At 44.6% G+C, this 22,473-nt stretch overlaps 2 protein-coding genes across 12 annotated transcripts in view; one reads left to right on the forward strand and one right to left on the reverse strand.

Moving 5' to 3' along the window:
• Positions 1-6,455: 6,455 nt before the first annotated feature.
• The window catches only part of TDRD9 (tudor domain containing 9), a 124,212-nt gene continuing 108,194 nt past the window's right edge, over positions 6,456-22,473 (forward strand). For 9 of the 11 annotated variants that reach the window (XM_006720019.4, NM_153046.3, XM_005267309.5 and 6 more), the window contains exon 1: positions 6,456-6,724. In XM_006720019.4, the coding sequence (XP_006720082.1) occupies positions 6,510-6,724 (215 nt within the window). In that variant the 5' untranslated portion in view covers positions 6,456-6,509. Of the gene's footprint in view, positions 6,725-9,835; positions 9,954-22,473 lie in introns of those variants that run through there. The other 2 variants (XM_011536398.4, XM_047430911.1) reach the window with 1 other exon arrangement.
• On the reverse strand, positions 18,426-20,529 carry RD3L (RD3 like). Its single transcript, NM_001257268.2, has 3 exons — positions 20,092-20,529; positions 19,397-19,702; positions 18,426-19,103 (listed from the first exon to the last, which is right to left on the reverse strand). The coding sequence occupies exons 2-3, from the start codon at positions 19,693-19,695 to the stop codon at positions 18,806-18,808; spliced, it is 597 nt and encodes a 198-aa protein (NP_001244197.1). The 5' UTR covers positions 19,696-19,702; positions 20,092-20,529; the 3' UTR covers positions 18,426-18,805.

Here is a 22,473-nt window from a genome sequence, read left to right on the forward strand (position 1 = left end):
ACTGCAACCTCCGCCTCCCGGGTTCAAGCGGTTCTCGTGCCTCAGCTTCCTGAATAGCTGGGATTACAGGCGCTGGTCACCAAGCCCAGCTAGTTTTTGTATTTTTAGCAAAGACGGGGTTTCACCATGTTGGCCAGGCTGGTCTTGAACTCCTGACCTCAGGTGATCCACCTGCCTCAGCCTCCCAAAGTGCTGGGATTACAGGCTTGAGCCACCGCGCCCGGCCTGCTCTGCATATTTTTATGTCTGTATTCTGTGCATATTCTTCTCAGCAGATAATATAAAACTTCCACAGGGGCTCCAGACACTGGGCTTAATAGTCTTAAAAATATATATATATATATATATTTTTTTTTTCAGAAATATTTTCCAGTAGAGAACTAGAAATCATAAAAGAAAAAAATTTAGCGAGCGGATCACCTGAGGTCAGGAGTTCAAGACCAGCCTGGCCGACATGGCGAAACCCCATCTCTACTAAAAATACAAAAATTAGCCGGGCTTGGTGGTGGGCGCCTGTAATCCCAACTGCTCAGGAAGCTGGGGCAGGAGAATCACTTGAACCCGGAGGGCAGGGGTTGCAGTGAGCCGAGATCTTTGCACTCCAGCCTGGGCGACAAGAGTGAAACGCCATCTCAAAAAAAAAAAAAAAAAAAAAAAAGCCAAATAAAAATTGGATGGAGGCTGGGCGCAGTGGCTCAGCACTTTGGGAGGCCTGTAATCTGTAATCTTAGCACTTTGGGAGGCCAAAGCAGGCAAACTGCTTGAGTTCAGGAGTTTGAGACCAGCCTGGCTAACATGGTGAAACCCCTTCTCTACTAAAAATACAAAAATTAGCTGGGTGTGGTGGTGGTGCGCACCTGTAATTCCAGGTACTTGGGAGGCTGAGGCAGGAGAATCGCTTGAACCCTGGAGGTGGAGGCTGCAGTGAGCTGAGATGGCGCCACTGTATTCCAGCTTGGGCGACAGAGCGAGACTCTGTCTCAAACAAACAAAACAAAAAATTGGATGGATTTGGCAGATTAGACAGTTAAAGAATAAACTGCAAGATCGAAGAAGCCATTCAGAAAATAAGAGGGATACAGCAGGAAAGATACCAATCATATGGGTAATTGGTATCTTAGAAGGAAATTAAAGAGGTGAGGCAGAAATATCTGAAGAGCTAATGGCTGAGAATTTTCCAAAAGTGATGAGAAAAAAATCATGCCAAAGATTCAAAAAGCCTTACAGAGGCCAGGCGCGGTGGCTTACGCCTGTAATCCCAGCACTTTAGGAGGCCAAGGCGGGCGGATCACCACACCATCCTGGCTAACACGGTGAAACCCCGTCTCTACCAAAAATACAAAAAAATTAGCTGGGTGTGGTGGTGGGTGCCTGTAGTCCCAGCTACTCCGGAGGCTGAGTGAGAGAATGGCGTGAGCCCGGGAGGCGGAGCTTGCAGTGAGCAGAGATGGCGCCACTGCACTCCAGCCAGGGAAACAGAGCAAGACTCCGTCTCAAAAACAAAAACAAAAAACAAAAAACAAACAAAAAGCCTTACAGAAACCAAGCAGGCAGATAAATAAAAATAAATCAATACCTTGAAATCTCACAATAAAGCCATAGAAAAGATAAAGATAAAATCTCAAAGAAAGTAACCACCAATCAAGAATTCTATACACAGGGAATTCTATACACAGGGAAATTGGCATTCAGAAAAGAAGGTAAAATAAAGACAGTTAAGGACAAACTAAGAGGAAATCGTGCTAGGCATGGTGGCTCATGCTTGTAATCCCAGCACTTTGGGAGGACTGCTTGAGCCCAGAATTTTGAGACCAGCCTGGCCAATGTATTAAGATCCCATCTTTAAAGGAAAAAAAAAAAGAGGAAATTATTAGGTTTTGAAGGGAAGGCAAGGGTTAAAGACAGACAAGACAGACACACACACACAGAGGGAGGGGGGGAGGGGAGAGGGGAGAGAGATGGTGGCTTCAACAGCAACACAGGTTTATTGCCAGCAAAAACCCGTGGAGCGGATAACCAGTTTAGTGCCCGAGCTCACTGCCGCTTCCAGGCTGGGGTAATTATAGGTCTGGGCTGGATGGGTCTGGGCAGTATGGCTTGCTGCCTGGCAGGATGTGATAAGGATGTTCCCGCAGTCAGGCAGTTGGGCAGGATGTTTCTTATGGTCAGAGCCCCCATGGAATGTTTCACTCCGACCAGGGTCTGTGAAATGGTGGGGGGTTTATAAAATGGTGCAGCTAGGACTGAAATAATCACAAGCAGATCCACAGTAAAATAAATGTTCATTATTCAGGCACAAGGAAAACGAGCTCAGATGTGTCAAGATAAAATAATAAAAGGCTCAAGATCCAGTTAAAATCATTTTTTTTCTTTTTTGAGATGGAGTCTTGCTGTGTCGCCCAGGCTGGAGTGCAGTGGTGCGATCTTTGAAAATGTAAAAGTGTTATTCCTCTCACACACACACACACACACACACACACACACAATGTTTTTTGGAAAACATAGTGACGTTTTAGAAAAATACACTGTTTAACATCAAACGGGTTTATCATTTTAAAATAAATAAGTAAAAACATTTCTCAGTTGTAATCCCTGATAGACATAACCCACATAAACAAAATCTCTTTAGGGTCCTCAGCAACTTTTAAGAGTGTAAAGGGGTTCTGAGACAGAACCAGGTTTGAGAACCACTGTCCTATAGTAAAAATGTTTTAGAGTTTTAGATTTATAATGACTTATAACACTGCTGAGGACGAGAACAAGCATTTAGGAAAAACTTAAGGAAGAACATCATGGAGAGCTGCTTCAAGACAGAGCTTCTGAACTTCCAACTAGACTTGAGATCAATAGACTTTGCTATGTTGCCCAGGCTGGTCTTGAACTGCTGGCCTCAAGTGATCCTCCCACCTTGACCTCTCAAAGTGTCAGAATTACAGGCGTGAGCCACTGTGCTCAGACCAAGAGAGTTTTAATGTCTTTAGTTTCAAATCCAAAACACCCTAAGAAACGCACATCTTAAAAAAAAAAAACAACCAAATGTTTCTTTTTTTTTTTTTTTTTTTTTTGAGATAGAGTCTTGCTCTGTCGCCCAGGCTGGAGCACAGTGGCGTGATCTTGGCTCACTGCAAGCTCTGCCTCCCGGGTTCACGCCATTCTCCTGCCTCAGCCTCCCAAGTAGCTGGGACTACAGGCGCCCGCCACCACGCCAGGCTAATTTTTTGTATTTTTAGTAGAGATGGTTTTTCACCGAGTTAGCCAGGATGGTGTCGATCTCCTGACCTCGTGATCCGCCCGCCTTAGCCCCCCAAAGTGCTGGGATTACCGGTGTGAGCCACTGCGCCCGGCCAAAAAAACCTAAATGTTTAAGGAAAGGGCCACTCCAGCAGATTTATTCAAAGTGCAGAATGTTGCATCTTGTGGTAGGAAGGCTGGAGAAGACAGCAAGCTACTTCGAGCACAGCTTCCTCTGCTTTGAGGAGAGTGCTGCTGAATGGCACCAACACCATTTGTAACTGCTCTCAGCTGTTAGTTTCCCCTTTTTGGTGGACGCTCAAATGCTCAGTGAATGCAAATATGCAAAACCTTCCCAAAATACCATGGCTCACTAGGGGTTCAGTGGCCTTCCCATGTGTTCTGGCCTAGATGTGACAAGTCCATGAAGATCTATCTGATGTCAAGCTGTTTCTTGTTTCTTTTTTCTTTTTTGAGACAGAGTCTTGCTCTGCCGCCCAGGCTGGAGTGCAGTGGTGCGATCTTGGCTCACTGCAACCTGCACCTCCTGGGTTCGAGCGATTCTCCTGCCTCAGCCTCCCGAGTAGCTGGGATTACAGGTGCGCGCCACTACACCCAGCTAATTTTTGTATTTTTAGTAGAGATGGGGTTTCATCATGTTGGTCAGGCTGGTCTTGAACTCCTGACCTCACGATCTGCCCACCTCAGCCTCCCAAAGTGCTGGGATTACAGTCGTGAGCCACCGCGCCCAGCCCAAGCTGTTTCTTTTAACTCTGAACTTTGGACAGCAATGCAAGGTGAACTTGACCAAGTGAGTTGGGAGCACCGAGAACTACTGAATCAAATGAAAGGTGCTCAAAGCCATTCAGTCTGTGATGATTCAGAATGTTAACTAGTGTTTGGTCAGGAAACACTATGGCAACTTTCCAAATTGGCAAATTTCCAAAGAAGCATCAAGAGAGTATCTTTGGATTGCAATTAAAAAAAAAATCAAAACTCAGAAGGATTAGCTAGTAGCCCAAAAGATCAAAGAATATAGAAAATGCCCCCCAGAAAATGTTTTTGAAAAGCATCTTCCACTTAAAATCGTATTCATTGTGACATCAACAAAGGATGACAGCACACGGTAACAGCAACATCCTAGAAAAACAGGCCAGGCGCGGTGGCTCACGCCTATGATCCCAGCATTTTGGGAGGCCGAGGCGGGCGGATCATGAGGTCAGGAGATTGAGACCTTCCTAGCCAACATGGTGAAACCCCGTCTCTACTAAAATACAAAAAATTAGCCAGCCATGGTGGTGCATGCTTGTAGTCCCAGCTACTCCGGAGGATGAGGCAGGAGAATTGCTTGAACCTGGGAGGCAGAGGTTGCAGTGAGCTATCGCGCCACTGCACTCCAGCCTGGTGACAGAGCAAGACTCCGTCTCAAAACAACAACAAAAAACAAAACAAAACAAGTGTGAGTTCTGGAGTTGCTTCAAGTGGTTTCAATATATTTTGTAAAATTTTGAATTATGTCCTAGCCTCCACATACAGTGTGAAGTTACAATATTTTCCAATCAATGCTGAATGACATACCATGAGTCTCAATTACTTTATGATTACCTTTTTTCTTATTTTTTGAAAAACATGACTGGGCATGGTGGTTCATGCTTGTAGTCTCAACACTTTGGGAGGCCAAGGGCTCCCAAACAGATTGCTTGAGCCCAGGAGCTTGAGACTGGCCTGGGCAACACAGCGAAACCCCTGTCTGTACTAAAAATATAAAAAATTAGCCGGTGTGGTGGTGGCGTGAGCCTGTAGTTCCAGCTATGCAGGAGGTTGTGGTGGGAGCATCACCTGAGCCCCCGAAGTTGAGGCTGCAGTGAGCCCTGATTGCAGCACGGCACTCCAGCCTCAGCGACAGGAGTGAGACCCTGCCTCAAAAGAAAAAAGAAAAGCAAGTTATTTCTTCCTGGCAAAGTGTGTTGAGGCACTTTTGGGAACCTGTCGTATTTGGCAGAGTCCTAATATGAGGTCTAGAGCTCATTATGCCAGGATTTGGAGCCAGAACTCCTGGCTTAGTATGATTATGGGTTCAATTTTTGAGACACCAATAGCTCAACCTACCTGCCTGATTTCTGTCTACAGTGTTTTCAAACCGCCCTCTTATTTGCCACTGCTTGGGCTTTACACTGCTGATTAGAGCCATGCTCTCGATACCGTCTCTGTATTTGTTCACATGGCTCTTTCCTGAGAGCCCACATGGGCCAGATAGATCCTGCCCTGGCCAGTGAGGGGGACACACCCCAGGCAGGTGGCCATGTCTCTCTTCTGACCCTCCCTTCCCTTGCACACGTGGCTGCCTTCCCGTGCATCCTTTGTTGATTTCTTCCCGCGGCTCCTTCTTTTGGGGAGTTTGCTAGGGCTCTGTTCTCCACCCTCACTCTTCTAGAGCTCGGCCGGGACCACCTCAGCCTGTATCTTTGGTCCATGTGATCGCCTGGACCTCCTGTCCGCACCTGTTTGTGTCCAGCTGTGAGTCTGACACCGCCGCCTGAGACACCGGTTTAGGAAGGAAGATGAATTCAGTTATGATCCGGCTGCAAAGAACTTCTCCCAGATCCTCACCTCAGCCATCAGGGCCGCCTGCCCTCCCCTATAACCCTGGGTGGTCCTCCGTCTGGCGCATTCCCCCGTATCCTGCAGGGGTCTGCCTGGCGTTACTTTCTCCGAGACCTTCCTGACCTTCTTCTTGCCCCTCTCCCCCCATATTAGGTGCAAGGATGTCCTGGTACGTCTGACCCACGAACGCAAATCCCTTCTCTGGTTTGCCTTCCATCTCCTCACCCTGAGGTGCTCAAGAAACGTATGTAGGGTCCCGGTCCGCTCAAAGCGCACAAACCTCCGAGGCAGCAGCCTCTAAATAGAGAGGCCAGGGAGTGACCGGAGGGCATTTTCTTGTACACACAGGGGTTGCCACGGAACTCCCGTGAAACAGACTCCCGGGCCAGCCGCGGCGCTCAAGCTTCCCCTGAGGTCCTAGAAAGGCTCACCCTGGGCTCGCTCGGGGCGGCGGCTCCCGGCAGGCCTAGCGCGGCGGGGCGGGGCCGGCGGCACGAGGACCAGGCAGCGCGGGCAGCACGCGCCCGGGCCGGAGCCCGCCCACAAGGGCGCGCGGCGCGTTCTGATTGGAAGGCCTCGAGCGGGGGCGGGGCTTCCAGGGTGCGCTTCCGCCGTCGCCTGTTCCCGCCGCGGAGACCCGGCAGTTGGGGGATGCCGACGCCTGGGCCTTGAGGATGCTGCGGAAGCTCACCATCGAGCAGATCAACGACTGGTTCACCATCGGCAAGACGGTGACCAATGTGGAGCTGCTGGGCGCGCCGCCCGCCTTCCCGGCAGGGGCGGCCAGGGAGGAGGTGCAGCGCCAGGACGTGGCCCCCGGCGCTGGTCCCGCGGCCCAGGCTCCGGCTCTGGCCCAAGCTCCGGCCCGGCCGGCCGCTGCGTTCGAAAGGTAGGACGCGGGCGGGGCGGAGGCGGCTGGAGGGCGGCCGGGCGAGGCCTGGCGACGAGGGCACGGGCCATCCAGATCCTTCTCGCGAGCCCGTGCCCTCTCGCGGGGCTCCAGGGACCCCTGACCGTCCAGGGCGAGTGGTCACTACACAACCCGACGCGCGGCCCAGAGCGGTGCCTGTAAGGAAGCTGAGCTAGAGGTTTTTTTTTTTTTTTTTTTTTCAGTTCTTAATGTTTAACAGACTAGTTTTTGAGGCACTCAGGTTTTCAGGATAACGGAGCGGAGGGCAGAGGTCCCATAGGCCCCTTCCCTCCCAGAGTTTCCCCTGTGAGCATCTGCGTAAGGTGTGGGTATTTGTGACAGTCGGCGAACCTGCATCGCTGCGTCTTCGTCACCCGGAGGCCATCGTTACAGGAGGGTTCACGCCTCGTACTGGACGTTCTGTGGGTTTGGACAAACGCCTAACGTCACGCATTACAGAGTTCACTGACCTACAGATCTTCTCGGCCCCACTGTTCCTGCCTCCCTTTCCCTACACCACGTGGAAACCACTGATTTTTTTACTGTCTCCATAATTTTGCTTTTCCATACTGTCATCTAGTTGGAATCACACAGTATGTGTAGCCTTTTTGATGGGTTTCTGTCACTTAGTATTAGTATGCATTTGGGGGTTCCTCCATGCCTTTCCATGGTTTGATAGCTTCTTTCCTTTTAGCACTGATTAATATTCCACTGTCTGGATGTACCACAGTTTATCTCCATTCACCTACTGAAGGAGAGCTTGGTTGCTTCCAAGTTCTCCCCCCACCCCCCGAGATGGAGTCTCACTTTGTTACCCAGGCTGGAGTGGAGTGGCGCCATCTCGCCTCACTGCAATCTCCCCCTCCTAGGTTCAAGCGATTCTCCTGCCTCAGCCTCCCGAGTAGCTGAGGCTACAGGCATATGCCACCACGCCTGGCTAATTTTTGTATTTTTAATAGAGACAGGGTTTCACCATGTTGGCCAGGCTAGTCTAGAACTCCTGACCTCAGGTGATCTGCCCACCTCAGCCTCCCAAAGTGCTGGGATTACAGGCGTGAGCCACTGCGCCCGGCCTGCTTCCAAGTTTTGGCAAGGTTTTTGTGTGGACATAAGTTTTCAACTCATTGGGTAAATACCAAGGAGTGCAAATGCTGAATCTTTGTTAAGTTTCACAGACTCCCTCCTCATCTCACTATTCTTTAAGTAGCTACCATCAGTTACTCTGTTCACTTGATTTGGGTGGAAATAAAAAGCAAGAGTATATCCTCTGTTTTTAGAGGAAAGACGTAGATTTGGTGAGTAGAAACACCTGCTCCCTCTTCTCGCTCTTTAAAAAGGCCCTGGGAGAAGTACTTCCAGCTTGGAGTATCTCCGTCACTCTTGCTCAGTCCCCAAGTCCAGCACGCTTTACAGTTGAGAAGGTGGTTTTGTTTTTCTTTTTCTTGGTTTTTTTTTTTTGAGACATAGTTTCGCTCTTGTTGCCCAGGCTGGAGTGCAGTGGCGCAATGTTGGCTCACCACAAACCTCCGCCTCCTGGGTTCAAGCGATTCTCCTGCCTTGGCCTCCCGAGTAGCTGGGATTACTGGCGTGTGCCACCACGCCCAGCTTATTTTGTATTTTTAGTAGAGACAGCATTTCACCTTGTTGGCCAGGTCGGTCTGACCTTGTGGTCCACCCATGTCGGCCTCCCAAAGTGCTGGGATTCCAGGTGTGAGTCACCGTGCCTGGCTTTATTTTTCTTTTTTAAAGTTACTCTTGTTTGTTAGTCTTGTCTGATTTGATGGATAGGCCCAGACTCTGGGTCAAGCTTTCGTGGGTTGCTTCAAGCCTTTGTAGAGTTCTTTCAAGTACACCTTTGGGATCTTTGGTAAATTTGGTTCTTAGAGGCATAGGGGGGACCGAGAGACCCCTTGTGCAACTTTGGAGTTGCTGTTTGTATGTTTGCACACTTTACTTCCTTGAGCTACTCTGGTAAATGATCCTGTGGGCCGCCTCCCCTACTTAATGGTCCATCACTTACTCCTTAGTTTTAACGGTGTGAACAGCATTGCTATTAAATAACCCATTGTAATATTGGAAGTAAATTATTATTGACCTTGTCAGAAAGTATAGATTTAAGTGCCATTTTAAGCACTAAGGACAAGTTTTTAAGATTTCTAGTCCTTCATGGACTGAGACTTTTATAAAATCAATAAAAATGAATTTTCAGAGCAATGAAATGAAAAAAGACAACATACTAATCGCAGTTAAAAAATTATTAGATTCAATCTGGGTGTGGTGGCTCCCACCTGTAATCCCAGCACTTTGGGAGTCCAAGGTGGGCAGATCATTTGAGGTCAGGAGTTCCAAGACCAGCCTGGCCAACATGGTGAAACCCTGTCTCTACCAAAAAAAAAAACAAAAATTTGCCCAGCATGGTGGTTTGTGCCTGCCGCCCCAGCTACTCAGGAGGCTGAGGTGGGAGAATTGCTTGAGTCCCTGAGGCAGAGGTTGCAGTAAGCTGAGATTGTGCCACTGCACTCCAGCCTGGGTGACAGAATGAGACCCTGTCTCAAAAAAAAAAAAAAAATTCAACATATGTAAAATTACTTTGTGAAATTGATGTAAACATTTTAACTTCTGTATTTAACCAGTGACAGGCAATGTTGGTCTATGAGTAGTGCTAGTTTTGATGAAATTCTTCTGGAAGTAGCTTCCTGGGCTCTAGGTGCATATGTATTCAATGCCAGAGTTTCCAGCACGTAGCAGGCACTCAGCTAAATATAGCTATATTATTGAATCCGCACAACAACACTTTGAGGTTGATGGCTTTATCATCAACTGATTCTTTCATGATTTTGTAGATGAAGCAATAGGTTTTGGTGGTAAAGTGACTTGCCCAACTTCCTGTAGCAAATGGTGGTGATGGGAAGAATGACTCCCCCAAAGATGTTCACTGGAACCTGTGACTATGTAATGTTACATGGTGAAAGAGATTTCGCAGCTGTAATTAAGGTTACAGATCATAGGACAGGAAGATTAGCTAGATTGTCTGAGTGGGCCCAGTCTGATCACATGAGCCCTTAAAAGCAGAGAACTTTCTCAGGCTGGAGTCAGATAAATTTGAAATGAGAGATTTGAAATATCATTGCTCGGAGGGGCCACATGGAAAGCATGAGAATGGAATATGGGCAGCTAGGAGCAAAGACTGGATCCCACTTGACAGCAGGTAAGGAAATGGGTACCTCAGTCCTACAATTGCAAGGGACTGAGTTTGCAAGGGACTGATCCTACAATTGCAAGGGCCTGGTTTTGGCCAACAACCTGAATGCACTGCCAGTAGGGAACGCAACTCTGCTAACACCTTGATTTAGCTTTAGGAAACCCTAAGCAGGGGATCCAGTTGAGTTCACCTGGACTTGTAATTAATTTGCCTTGTTTGAAACTGCTATGTTTTTGCGATTTGTTGAGGCAGCACTGCATTAGGGTACAAATCTGGTGGCAGAGCTGGGTTCGGATTGGGGTGAGCCGACCTGTGAACCCCGCACGGTGCCTGGCACATAGTGGATACTTGGATACTTGTTGAATGTTATTTTTCCCAGTGAAGGAGAGTGTTGAGTGAGGCATTGACATTAGTGAGAGAACATTTGACATAGGGGAGGGATGGCTTTTTTTCTTTTTGAGACGGAGTCTCGCTCTGTCGCCCAGGCTGGAGTGTAGTGGCGCCATCTCGGCTCACTGCAAGCTCTGCCTCCCGGGTTCACACCATTCTGCTGCCTCAGCCTCCTGAGTAGCTGGGACTACAGGCGCCCGCCACCACAGCCGGCTAATTTTTTGTATTTTTAGTAGAGACGGGGTTTCACCGTGTTAGCCAGGATGGTCTCGATCTCCTGGCCTCGTGATCTGCCTGCCTCGGCCTTCCAAAGTGCTGGGATTACAGGCGTGAGGTACTGCGCCCGGCCGGGAGGGATGGCTTTTATAAGCATAGGGTATTGCACAGTTAAAATGTATTTGTTAGAGATAGTCACTCAATGGTAAAATTAGTGTACACCAAGTCACTGCAGTCCGGTCTGAGAGAGTGTTGTTAAATCAGCTTAATGATTAAATCAGCTTAAATCAGCAGAAGAACATGGGCAATTTTTTTTTTAATCAGCTTAATGAGTAGTGACCACCAGCATTAAAAAATAAATAGAAAATGCCAGACTACATCATAGGTAGTTCAGACAAGAATTGCCGGAGATGGTGTGGGCGCCTGTGGGTCCCAGCATGAATCTTGCTCATGCTGAAGGTGAGTAACACCTTACTCACGATGAAGGTGTTGCCGGAGTGCCTGTGGGGAACAATTTATAAATTTTGTTTCCAGTGATTTTTACGGATTTCCCCATGTCTCCTCTTCCACATGGTACTGTATTTTACTCTTTGATGGTGATTATTCTTTCTGTTATCCTTACATTCTCGTGTCTTCACCTTGGCATATGAAGAAGAAAACCTCAGTGGCTGTGATATACCATTTTGAGCATTCTCCAGTGTGTAGCACCAGCTTTCCTGTGGATTGCAGCCCATGGCTGGGAGCCTTGCGTCACTCCCAGCTTCCTTCTGCCTTGTGTTTCTTTGTGCTTTCTGCCGTGTACTTTCCTGTCTTCACAGCTCACGTTAACTCCTGGCTCATGAAGATCTTACTTAATTCTCGCTTTTGTGTCTTTGACTGTTCAACACCTTATTAAAATGTTCTTTGTCTTTGGGAAGCCTTCATCATAGGAAGCTTTCAGATTTCCACTATCTGGTGATTACTTTCTTCTAGTTCCCTAATTTATTTTATTTTATTTCATTTTACTATTATTATTTTAAAAAATATTATTTAAAAAAACAGACAGGGTTTTGCCATGTTGCCCAGGCTTGTCTCAAACTCCTGAGCTCAAGCAATCTGCCTGCCTCGGCCTCCCAAAGTGCTGGGATTACAGGTGTGAGCCACCGCATCTGGCCCAGGTCCCTAAGTCTTGGTTTTTGCACTTGTCTCTTACTGAAGTTGAATGCCTGCTGTATTGGGCATTGTGTCAGGTGACACAGGAAATGAGCCGTCTCGGCCCTTCTGACAGATGGGGGAAGTTAAGATCAGAGAAGTTGAAGTTTACTTTGTCCTAAGTCCACATACCTATTATATTGTAGAATGGGTGTGTTGGACTCCAAGGCATGTTGCTTTTTTCTTTTTGTCTTGTTGCCTTTTGGTATTCAGGCCTCACATAGATGTTAGTGTATGACTCTGTAACTCTCCAAGAATTCCTATTTTCTGTTCACCCACAAAATCCACTTTTTTTTTTTCTTGCTCTGTCACCCAGGCTGGAGTGCAGTGCTGCTGTGCATAGCTCGCTGCAGCCTTGAACTCCTGTGCTCAAGCAATTTTCCTTCCTCAGTCTCCCAAGTAGCTGGGACTACAGGCACGTGCCAGCATGCCTGGCTAATTTATTTTTTGTAAAGATGGTGTCTCACTATGTTGCCTATGCTGGTGTCAAACTCCTGGGCTCAAGCAGTCCTCTCCTCTGGGCCTCCCAAAATGCTGGGATTATAGGAATGAGCCACTGCCCTGGCCAAAGTCCACATTTTTAAGACCTTTTGGTCGTTTAACAGATTTCATTTATTCAGTAATTTTCCCATTGATTAAAAAAGTGCTGGTGCATGTTCTCTGTATGTACTATGTGCAGCTGGAGTAGAGTGTTTGAAAGGGAGAGAATAGGTGTGGTCACGGAGCTAACAGGAGATCAAGAGGTATGTCCTAGCCGAGCACGGTGGCTCATGCCTGTAATCCCAGCACTTTGGGAGGCCGAGGCGGGTGGATCATGAAGTCAGGAGATGGAGACCATCCTGGCTAATACAGTGAAACCCCGTCTCTACTAAAAATACAAAAAATTAGCCGGGCGTGGTGGTGGGCGGGCGCCTGTAGTCCCCGCTACTCGGGAGGCTGAGGCAGGAGAATGGTGTGAACCCGGCAGGCGGAGCTTGCAGTGAGCTGAGATGGCGCCACTGCACTCCAGCCTGGGCGACAGAGGTGAGTGGATTGAAGTGGGGCAAGGACAGGAGCAGGGTGGTCAGGGAAGAATCTCTTGATGTCCTCTGTGATGGTTAACTTTGTGTGTCAACTTGGCTGGGTGACAGTGCCCAGATATTTGGTCAGACACTACTGTGGATGTTTTTTGAAGGTGTTTTTTAGATGAGACTAACATTGCAAATCTGTGGACTTTGGGTAAAGCAGTTGATGCTCCTTGAGGTAGGAGGGCCTCGTCCAGTCAGTTGAAGACCTGAATGCAGCGAAGACTGATTTTCCCTGACCAAGAAGAAACTGTGTCAGCCGACTGACTTTGGACTCGGACTGCAACCCTTTCCTGGGTCTCCAGCTAGCTGGCCTATCCTGCAGATTTTGGACTTGTACCTCTATAGCTATGGGAGCTAATTCCTTAAAATAAATTTCTTTCTCCACATCTTGTTGATTCTGTTTCTTTAGAGAACTATGACTGACACATCATTCAAGCAAGAGATAGGATGGTGGCTTAGACCAGGCAGGTAGCTGAGAGTGGAGGATGTGGGGTGTGGTAAGCAATGGTGGCATTTGGGACATGTTCTTAAGCTAGAGGCAAGGACTCTGTAGCTGGAGCAAGTGTAGGATGTGAGTGGGGGAGCAATCACAGGTGACACCAAGGTTTCTGGCCTAGCAAGTGACAGGTGTTGCCTTCAGGTAAGGAAGGCGAGACTGCACGAGGAATTAGTTTGTGGGGGGATACCAGGATTGATTTTGAACATGTTCACTTTAAAATGCCTGTTAGACAGCAGTACATGTAGGTGGTCTGGAGTTGAGGAAGGAAGTCTGGCAGAGCTAGACACTGGGAAGTTTAACTTCGAGAATGATGAGATCCCTTAACTAGGATGTATCCTAGTGAGTGGGTGTAGAGAGAAGGGCCCACCTGGGGTGCTTCAGTGTTTATAGGTGGATGAGTTGCAGTGAGAAAAGGAGACTGAGAACAAGTGGTCAGAGGGACACCAGGTGAGTGAGGCCCACTTTAATCAACAGCTTGCTTAGTGCCCTGCACACGCATATCTTAACACTTTCATGGGAATGATTTTGTATATTATTTTTCCCACATAAGAACTTATTAAGGGTACAGATTATCAGGGAATCTCCACCTCTTGGTGCAGTACCTGACATAGTAGGAACTCAGATATTTGTTTGAATGAATGACCTAGGAGGTCACAATAATAATAATAATTTTTTTTTACAAGAGGGAGGGCAGGGCATTTGGTGAGTAGATAAGTGTGGCAGAGTGATGTTACCTATTTACCATGTGAAAATGGAAGCAAGGTAATTACTGGTGATAATTATTATTTTCAGATGGGGTCTCCCTCTGTTGCCCCACATGGAATGCAGTGGCACAATAACGTTTCACTGCAGCCTTGACGTGGGCTCAAGTGATCCTCCCTTGATCCTCCCAACTCAGTCTCCTGAGTAGCTGGGACCACAGGTGCATGCTGCCATGCCTGACAAATTAAAAAAATGTTTTTGGAGACATGGGATTTCACTATGTTACCCAGGCTGGTCTCAAATTCCTGGGCTCAAGTGATCTTCCCACCTTGGCCTCCCAAAGTGCTAGGATTATGGGCATGAGCCACCATGCTCAACCTAGGAGACCCCAGTTATTGAATGCTTACAATATGTCATGTCCTTATTCTAGACATGGTGAGAGTTGCTTCCTCATGCAGTCCTGTCTTGATTGAATCATAAATCTCTGTCTTACTCCTCAAGCCATGGTGGATTTTCCTAAGGAGTGTATCAGAGTGTGTATATGGGTATACAATCAAACAATAAAAATCACAATATCCTGGCAAGTGTACGATAAAATATTTCCAGAATATGGGTGCTTCTCACAGTTTACATAGTCACCACTCTAGACCAAACCACTGCTGTCATCTCTTGCCTGGATTATTGCATAAACCTTCTATGTTTGGTCTCCTGACTTTTCAACCTTACTCCCCAGTAATCTAGCACCTAGAAGAATGCCTGGCATGATGTAGATGCTTAGTTAATATTTGTTGAATGATGGCCTGGCATAGTGGCTCATGCCTGTAATCCCAGTGCTTTGGGAAGCTGAGGTGGGAGGATCACTTGAGGCCGGGAATTCGAGACTAGCCTGGGCAACATAGGGAGACCCTGTCTCTACAAAATATTAAAAAATTAGCCGGGTGTTGTGGTGCCTGCCTGTAGTCCCAGCTACTTGGCAGGCTGACTCAGAAGGATCATTTGAAGCCAGGAGTTCAAGGCTGCAGTGAGCTATGATTGCACCACTGCACGCCTGGGCAACAGAGCAAGAGCCTGTCTCTTTAAAAACAATTGTTGAATGAACAAATTCTTGAGTAAACCTTCACACCTGAGGTTCTTTGAGCACATGTGTGATCTCCTGTGGCATCGACTGCTGTTAGGATAAAATTTCATCTGACTCTGCATCTAGGCTTGGCGAGCGTTCCTCCATTGGGCATCTCCTTGTCTGCTGCTCTCGCTGTGCTCTGGTCACATTGGCATTTTTTCTGTGTCTTGAAGATAGCAAGCTAATTCCCACCTTGCAGCTTCCACACTGACTCTTCTGTATTCAGTGCTTCCCGTCGCTCCCTTCCCATTGCAGGCTCCTTTCTTCATTTGGGACCCTGTTCAGATACCTCCTTAGAGGAGTTTCCTGTGACCTCCGTAGCTAAAGCAGCCCTCCCCTCCCTTCTTTCCCAGTCTCTCTAGTCTTTTAAACAACTTTTTAACCTTCTCCAAGTACTGAACTCCTGCCTCCATCCAGTCTTGTTTGTGATAGCCAAAACCCAGCCCTTCCAGTTACCTTTGGATTGTGATTGTGTTTTTGGCCCCTCCCCCATCCCAAGGGGGGACCAGAATGATTCTGAGATTTCTGGCTTGTAGAGTTGAGTACATGGGTGGTGCTGTCATTTACTGAGATAGAAAATACTAGTTGATGAAATGTTTGAAGAATTATGCTTTTAGAGGGTGTGTGTGTGTATTGGTACTAGCTGGTTCCTTTCTTGAATTCTGTTTGTTCCTTTAGAACACAAAAAATTCTCTATGACTTTGGTTTTGAACATGTTGATTTTCTTTTTTTTTTAATTTTCTTTTTTGAATGGAGTATACTGAAGGATGAACATGTTGATTTTAAGTTGCCTGTGAGCATCCAAGAGGAGGTGTCACAGGCAATTGGTTCTGTGCATTTGGAGCTCAGAGCTCAGTTGGGGAAGGGACACGGCAGCCTGGATGTGAATCTCCTCTCTGCCAATGAGCAAGCCATTGGACGTATCTGAGGCAGTTTGCTCATCTGTCATATGGGGATAGTATCACCTACTTTATAAGGTTACGATGAAATGAGAATGCACTCGTAGTGCTTAGTATGTGCCTGGTGTGTAAGAGAATTACTTTAATATTATTAAATGGATTGGGCTGGCTAGTAATGCTACCTCGAGAGCCTATTATATGTCGGGGATTGTGCAGAATGCTTTTATGTGGATTCATTTATTCTTTCTATTCCCTAGCTAAATATTGTAGCTCCTGAACGAATGCTGCTTTTTCTTGATAAAACACACCTGAAACATTCCAGTCGTCCCCTTCCCACCTGTGCCCCATATATGTGTGTGTGTGTGTGTGTGTGTGTGTGTGTGTATATATATATATATATATATATATATTTTTTTTTTTTTTTTGAGATGGTGTCTCGCTCTGTTGCGCAGGCTGGAGTGCAATGGCGTGATCTTGGCTCACTGCAACCTCTGCCTCCCGGGTTCATGCCATTCTCCTGCCTCAGCCTCCCAAGTAGCTGGGACTACAGGCGCCAGCTACCATGCCCAGCTAATTTTTATATTTTTAGTAGAGATGGGGTTTCTCTATGTTGGCCAGGATGGTCTCAATCTCTTGACCTTGTGATTCGCCCGCCTCGGCCTCCCAAAGTGCTGGGATTACAGGCGTGAGCCACCGTGCCCGGCCCCCCTTTATATTTTCAATCCTGATTCCTTTGCCAGCTTTAGGTATTATAAATAGCCTAGTGTATAAAAACATGGATCTGTCACTATTCAGGAAGTTATTTGTATTAAAATTTCTATTTGATTTATAGGTTTTCCAGAAATAACTACAGTTTTAAATGACGTATACCAATACCCTCACAGGATATGAGTATTAGGTTTGCCAACAACAAAGTGAGAGATGGAAACTCAAAACTTAATATATTTTTCCTTTCTTTTTTCAAGCTTGGGTGGAAAATTAATTAATTGCATGTGGGTGACTTAGAGTGGCTAGGATTCGTTTTCATCCTGAACTGTCCATAGCTGCTTCAGTCACCAGAAGCTTTTTGCCGGGAGTTATTTCTCCCTGTCTGAATACAGAGGATGACCCTCTCTTGGAAGTGGTATGGTGTTGTCCAGTGGCTGCTTGAGGAGCCTTGGAGAGTGAAGGAAATGATTTGCATCTCTTCATGGCATATATTTCCTGGTATGTATGGTGGGATGACCAATTCTAGTACCGGGCTTCATATACAAACTTCACGTTCTCCTTGTTTCTTTAAATGAAAATTTTGTTCTCACCATTAAGGCACTGATATTTTCTTAAAACTCACGTTTGCTACTTACTGTATTCACTGCACAATAAGCAGTTGTGTACTTTTCGGGGCATTTATCTCTCCCACACACAGTTTCCACTCTAGGAAATCTTACAGTGACTGAAGAAGCCAAAGGTAGTATGTAGGAAAACTGAAAATCTCAGAGCAGGAATGAGAGGTGTCTTTATTTTAAATCTGCTTGGGACTGTGTTTGTCCTGTTAAACCCTGATCAGGTGGGTTGCATTACGTGATTGGGATTTAAGACCAAATAGAGGTCAGTTGAAAATGGTACACAAGTTGGCCAAGAACGCAGGGAGAATAAAGTTAGGAGGGTTTTTTTTTTTTTTTTTTTTTTTTTTTGTGGTGTATATTTAGTTCTAGTCTTTTTGAAAAAAAGTGTTTTTTTTTTTTTTTTTTTTTGAGACAAGGTCTTTCTCTGTTGCCCAGATTGGAGTGCAGTGGTGTGATCATAGCTCACTGCAGCCTTTAACTCCTGGGCTCCAGTGAGCTTCCTGCTTCAACCTCCTGAGTAGCTGGGACTACAGGTATGTGCCACCACACCCAGCTAGTTCCAATTTTGATACGTATATTTTTTTCTTTTTAGATGAAAGAAAACCAGTAAATCTTCAAATATAAAGTTATAATTAGGTTCCTTGGACTTAACTTTAAGAATGAATTGTATCACTTTATAAAAAAAATCTGACTAATGTATAATTTCCTACTTTTAATAAAGTTATGAAAAGCCAGATTTTGTATATTAAATATTTTGCTATTTCACCAGAGTATAAGTTTAAATTATTCACCAACAGTGAATGTTTTTCTTTGAGAGTAGCAGCTACTCATGTTGCTAAATCAGTCTATTTATCTTTACTGATAGAGCTGAGTTTTATTACACGTTCCCTTAATGTTGAGCTTAAAAGTACTGTGATTAAAACCAAAGCTGAGCGTTGGGTTAAAGCCCTGCTTCATTTTTAAACTGCATGATATTTTTTCCCTCACCGCCCTTCTCCCCATCCCCTGCTGAGAATGATCGTATAATGGGATGTTGACTTCTCATTTCTGTTATGTTGTAAAGATAGGATTCGTATTAATAATTTATTTAATTCTATATGTAGCTTCATTGTAGAATAAAAGTCAAGGTTAATATCTAAGTTTTGTACAGAATTTGTCAGACTTCATACTAAAGTTGCTTTAGTTCCTGTGAGGTGGGTTTGAGGTATAAGAAAATACTGCAAACATTTTTTCAAAATACTTAGGAAACATTTTAGTTAAAAGCATACTATTCAATGAAAACATAGCATGTTTAGAGTGGTTAAAAAAAGAACACTATTTAAAACATAGGCTACATCCACAGGATACTGACCTTGTAACAAAGAAAAACTTGAAGTCACATCACTTTTTCTTATTCTTAATATTAGGAGTTCTAAGGTGTTCATAAAAACCCCTCTAGTTGTAAGTAACTTAACTAGATGGGTGATAATATGGTAGGTTCCATATTCTGTGTGAGAACACTGGGAACCTGTCCTTTGTGTTTTTGTCTACGTAACTGGAAATGGTGGGTATTTCATCTTTGTCTGCCCTCTTGGAGCTGTCACCTTGGATCACAGAAGGAGCAGAGCAGTCCATGCTCCCTGAGTCCTCCAGGTCCTCTTGCTCACTCCCTCTGTCAGAGCTGCTTAGGAAGTCTTTCAGAACTTGCTTGAAGATGTAGACTATTTCCCATGGCAGTACATCATTTTCTGCCAAAACTTCTCGAAATCTAGAGGGGAAATGGTAATGAATATTCAGTTTAGAACATTTTTTGTTATATCTCTTTATCTCCAAAATACAGCTTGAATAATGTATACAAGTTACCCACCTTTTGAGTATTTTGCATGTTGTTTTAAAATTATGCTTCTAGTAAAGAAATTTTAAATGTAATTTAAAACAATTGCTCACCAGACATCTACACAGTTAAAGAATTTACATGATAGAATACAGTTTCTAGTCAAAATATATGAGGAACTTGGACTTAGCAGTAGCAGGAATCATAAGAGAACATAGTATTTTTACCTGCTGAGAATAGTTCCAGTTTGGCAAGGTTGAACTTGTGAGCAAAGAACTTCAAGTTGTCTTTGTTCAGTCACTGGGATAGTTGTGTGGGGATTCTGGTAGTTTCTGAGCCAGTTGTAATCCACACCTGTTTTTTTCACTTTTTGTTCATTTTCGATTTCTTGTATTAATCTCTCTCGCTCCTTTAGGTGCCATTTTAATTCCCGAAGCAGAGTCTTTGTCACTATGTCTGAGCCAGGATAGTGTGTGGGTTTGTAGGAATCGTTTTTGGGCCATTTCATCCAGCCAAAAAGTGGCATTTTTAGCCTATGGAAATATTTTCACTTGTTTATTTGCTCAAAATGTTATGTTCTTCTGAGCAAATATTTGTTTCTTTACAATAAATTTGCCCGAAAAGTGCACGATTTTTTTTCACATTTAGCTATGCAGGTCAAAATAAGATTAGAACATGGATTAACGTCTTAATTTTTAACTAGGTCAGTGGCAGAAACCAAGCTTTGAAAATGCTTTTATGTAGCTTAGCAGAAATTAGATATACAAAGTCAGAGATAACATATAGACTGAATGATATCCGAAAATAACACTAACACTTGCTGTGAAAAGTTCTTAAGAGACTTAAAATATTAATGTCGGGGCAAGTGCTGCCTACAGATACTTTTGATTTATGTTTTGGACAGAAAAGGTTTAAAGCTTACCTGTTAAGTTGATGGGCTGATGTGATGTTGCCAAAGAGTTGACTGAAGTTGGTGACGAAGCTGTGTTTCACTGGGACGTATCTTGCTCTCCTAGGTGTGTCCTCTGTAGAAGGAATGCGCCACCTTATTTACCCACCGAAACTGTATTTGAAATAAATAACTTTCTGTGTTAGGAATGAGGCTGTGATGTCTTCATTTGGAGAGAATGCTCATTAATTCACCTTGTAAGTAAGCTAGAAGAAATGACAAAAATAACTGACTATTTAATCTTCACAAGTTATATAATGGTCTGCCTTTTCAATGTAGCTCAGTCTATTTGAAAAAAATGCCAGCAGCTATAGATGCTGGTCCTAAATGCATTCCGACATGTCTTTGGTAGTGAAACGAAGAATGGTCGTCTAAAGCACCATAGATGCGCTCCGAGCTAGAGTGAAGACTGTCGCGTGATGTGATGCTTTGCTGTGCATAGCTGTAGGTCACAGTTTAGTGCTGTATTTTTATGCCTGTAGAGCTCTAAAAATAGCCACGTTGCTTTTATTCTTCAGCTTAACTTTCAGGCCATTTGGAAGCCGGGTCACTGTCCCCTCTAGTGAAAACAGGAAAAATAGATTAGACTTGACTATTTGCAAAACATACATTCTGAGAAAACTCATTGTAATTGAGTGAAATAGGTAAAGAATGCTGATGTGAATTATAATTGTGAAATATTTAGCAAATGTTACATTTTGTATTCATTTTGGTTTTTTCAAAATAGTTAAATTTGTATATTTAAGCAAGTTGAAATGCTAGGGGACATAATAAACAGCTAGATAACTTTAAAATATACTTTATAATCTCTGAAAATATGGTAATAAGGCAGTAATTGGTTGTCAGGGAAAAATAGAGGCATAAGAACATACAAAATTCTAAACAAAATCTTATAATTCATCGTAGAAAAATCATTTTCGTGTTTTTTTTTTGGAGCTGAGGATGAAAAACTTATATTTACTATTTAGGTGCATATTGGTTTGTAATGGTCATTATTGTGCTATTTCTTTTTTCTTTCTTTCTTTTTTTTGAGACAGAGTCACGTTGTGTCACCCAGGCTGTAGTGCAGTGGCATGATCACGGCTCACTGTAGCCTCGACCTCCTGGGCTCAAGTGATCCTCCCACCTCAGCCCCCTGAATAGCCAGGACCATAGGTGCATGCCACCACAGGTGCATGCTACGGCATGCCTGGCTAGTTTAAAAAAATATATACACACGCACATATGTACATACATATATGTTTTATATATGTACATATGTGTATGTATTTTATATATGTACATATATGTATATATACACATAAGTATATATACGCATATGTATATGTATTATATATGTATATATAAATATACACACATATATAATACACACATATATACACACACACATACATTTCTTTTTTTTTTTTTTTTGTAGAAATAAGGTCTCCCTGTGTTGCCCAGGCTGGTCCGTAAACTGGGCTCAAGTAATCCACCTGCCTCAGCCTCCCAAAGTGCTGGGATTACAGGCATGAGCCACTGCGCTGGCCTGTGCTAATTTCCTATGCAAGTGTTTGTCTTTTGCTAAAGAGTAGATAGTATAAAAGGTCTTTTACTCCCCAGTTCTCTGTGAAACGACTGCATAGTGGTTTTCCCTTTTATAGTATTTGTTTCTTCTGTTGCTTTTCCTTTCAAGTGAGCCATGAAGAGTAGACGTTGTTTACATCAGACTTGCATGTCATGCATGACCCAGAGTGACGTGTGTGGCCACCCTACAGCTCCTGTTGCTTAGATGTTAGAAAAAGCCAGATGTCAGGACTGATTATTGTCAACTGGAAGGTTTTCACATGACATTGCATATACTGTTAGGAGAAGGAAAGGAGTAAAGTTTATGATGACAGAAGTGTCCTACCAAATTTTATACTAAAATTACAGCGAATCTTGCCGCATACTCCTTTGAATAACCTCCTTGTTACTGCATAAATTTTTTTCCTCTGAAATGGTAACAAAAATATCAGAACATATTGGATATGGAACTTAAGCCAAATTTCTGTTCAAGGCCCTCTGCAGTCTCACATTATCCCTCCTTCAAGGCCCTCTACAGTCTTACGTTATCCCTCCTTACCTGGCTTGCTTTCTTGCTCGACCCTAGAGCACACCTTTTGTTTCAGCCAGGCCACGTTGCCCCCTGACGCTTGCCATGCTTACTTCTGATCCTTCAGCTTTGGTTCAACTGTTTTTTCTCTTCTGAAAAGCTGCTTCTTTGTGTTTTTCATGTATCCACATAGTAATTCTCTTTTTCATGGACCAGCTCAAATACCAACTGATTTTTTCCTTCAACCTGAGGGTCAATGTGAACATCTTCCTTGGCCCTTC

The sequence above is a fragment of the Homo sapiens genome, chromosome 14, assembly GCF_000001405.40.
Source record: "Homo sapiens chromosome 14, GRCh38.p14 Primary Assembly".
Taxonomy (NCBI): Eukaryota; Metazoa; Chordata; class Mammalia; order Primates; family Hominidae; genus Homo; species Homo sapiens.